Source organism: Homo sapiens, chromosome 16, assembly GCF_000001405.40.
Source record: "Homo sapiens chromosome 16, GRCh38.p14 Primary Assembly".
In the NCBI taxonomy this organism is placed as follows: Eukaryota; Metazoa; Chordata; class Mammalia; order Primates; family Hominidae; genus Homo; species Homo sapiens.
Genome location: NC_000016.10, coordinates 83,878,027 through 83,879,018, shown reverse-complemented (window position 1 = coordinate 83,879,018; position 992 = coordinate 83,878,027). Strand labels below are relative to the sequence as shown.

Below are 992 nucleotides of genomic sequence, written 5' to 3'. Positions count from 1 at the left end.
GGAAACGAATTTAATAAGCCCCACATTCCAACACTGGAAAATGAAGACGCTTCCTTTTGAGACGAAGATATCCACCTGTGAAAGGGTTTTCCCACCACCTATCCCTCTTAGAGACCTCAGATGAGGATCAAGGCAGTCTGTAGAACAAATGCTGGCTGATGACTGTGTTTATGTTCCAAGAATTTGGGAATTTGTCAAAGCACAATATTGTTAAATTAATACAATCTTTGTCTGTAAGGGGTCTGGGGGAAATTATTTTGACAACTATTGTGGGCCAAGTATGCCTCTTTTTTTTCTTCTCTCTTTTTTTTTTTTTTGAGTCGCAGTCTCGCTCTGTCGCCTAGACTGGAGTCTAGTAGGGCAATCTCGGCTCACTGCAAGCTCCGCCTCCCAGGTTCACGCCATTCTCCTGCCTCAGCCTCCCGAGTAGCTGGGACTACAGGTGCCCGCCGCCACGCCCAGCTAATTTTTTGTATTTTTAGTAGAGACGGGGTTTCACCATGTTAGCCAGGATGGTCTCGATCTCCTGACCTCGTGATCCGCCCGCCTCGGCCTCCCAAAGTGCTGGGATTACAGGCGTGAGCCACTGCGCCCGGCCCAAGTATGCTTCTTGTTCTACGTTGGTTCACTTTCATTGTTGGGCTTGGCACTCTTGAAGAAGCCATGAATGAAGCTGTACATTTCTCAATCCCCAGATGAAATGAAAAATTATTGCAAGGAGCCTTCACTCTTAGACTCAATTTACCCTCATGTTTCTGCATCTTTACAGACGAGGCTTGTTCCCTGGATGCAGACTTGAAGAGGTGGAAATTTTAACTAGAAGAGGGAAAGAAACGGACATTTATTCAGCAGCCTCCTTGTGTGAGCAACTTGTACATTATCTCCTCTAATCCTCAACCACACTGCAAAGCCTAGATTAATGTCTCTATTTTAGACAGAGGGTAACTTAGGATCAGAGGACGTAGGAAACTTGCCCAGATCATACAGGGTAG

The 992-nt window shown here is 46.0% G+C and overlaps 1 annotated feature.

Annotated features, from left to right (window-relative positions):
- Positions 255-413: a silencer, noted in NCBI's record as "fragment chr16:83912211-83912369 (GRCh37/hg19 assembly coordinates)". NCBI's record gives its function as "represses an EF-1alpha promoter that drives an FKBP-Casp9 reporter gene in an ReSE screen in K562 erythroleukemia cells {active_cell/tissue: K562}" and the evidence as "EXISTENCE:reporter gene assay evidence [ECO:0000049][PMID:32094911]".